The 1022-nt window shown below is 41.0% G+C and overlaps 1 annotated feature.

Annotated features, from left to right (window-relative positions):
- Window positions 432–721: an enhancer, noted in NCBI's record as "active region_7810". NCBI's record gives its function as "activates an Ori minimal core promoter by ATAC-STARR-seq in GM12878 lymphoblastoid cells {active_cell/tissue: GM12878}" and the evidence as "EXISTENCE:reporter gene assay evidence [ECO:0000049][PMID:35858748]".

Raw genomic sequence — 1022 nt, forward strand, 5'->3', positions numbered from 1 at the left:
TTTATTTTTGTTGTTGTTGTTTTCATTTGTTTTCAAAATGTTTCAGCCGTTTGGGGAAGGCAGCAAACAAGATATCTGCAAACATGTTTGGTCTACTAATATTGGTTATTAATATTATTCCTGTTGAGACCAGAAGTCTTCTCCTCATGGAAGGTTTTTTTCTCAAAGGGTTCGTGATCTCATGGACTTCAAGGAATGAAGCCATGGACCTCAGCGGCGAGTGTTACAGCTCAATTGGAGAAATGCGTGCACCCAAAGAGTGTGTGGCAGCAAGATTTATTAAAGTGAAAGTAAAGTGAAAGCGAAAGTAAAGCTTCCACGAGGTGGAAGGAGACCCGGAAAGGTTGCCGTTTTTGGCTTGGGTGTCTTATGCTTATATCCCCTTATGACCCCTCCTCTTTTCCTTTTTCTATCCTATAGAATTAGCTTATTTTCAATCCGCTTGTGGGTTGGCAGGCTTGATTGGTTAAAAACATCAGGCTGCAGCTAGAGCTTAAACTCCCTGTATGATTGGTTGAAGTGTCAATCCCTTAGCTTGCAGCTGTGACTCATTTTGGCTTAGGGGAAGGTCCCCTTTGATTGGTTGAAGTTTCAATCCCTTAGCTTGCAGCTATGACTTATTTTTGGCTTAGGGGAAAGTCCCCTTAGGGAAGTCCCTATTGACCCAGGAAGTCCAGCCAACTTAGCCACTTAGTCCCTCACTGTTACCGAAACACTGTTTACTGAAACAGCAATCTGTCTGTTACCGAAACATTGACATTAGCCTTAGGTTACTGAGAAGGTAAATGACAGGAGCTAGTGAGGTTTCTCTTAACTAGGATAGCAGTGCTTATATATCTTGATTTTCCCAGGAGGATCTTAGTTTATATTTATTGTTCCAGCATATAAATGGTGTCCCTTTTCAAATGTTAAAGTATTGTAAATTACATAGATAGTGTCCCTAGCTGTGATTCTGTGGACATCACACCATACATTGACCTTTCAGAAAGGGAGTGGTTTAGCCAGACAATAAAAGAAGACAT

The sequence above is a fragment of the Homo sapiens genome, chromosome 13, assembly GCF_000001405.40.
Source record: "Homo sapiens chromosome 13, GRCh38.p14 Primary Assembly".
Lineage (NCBI taxonomy): Eukaryota > Metazoa > Chordata > Mammalia > Primates > Hominidae > Homo > Homo sapiens.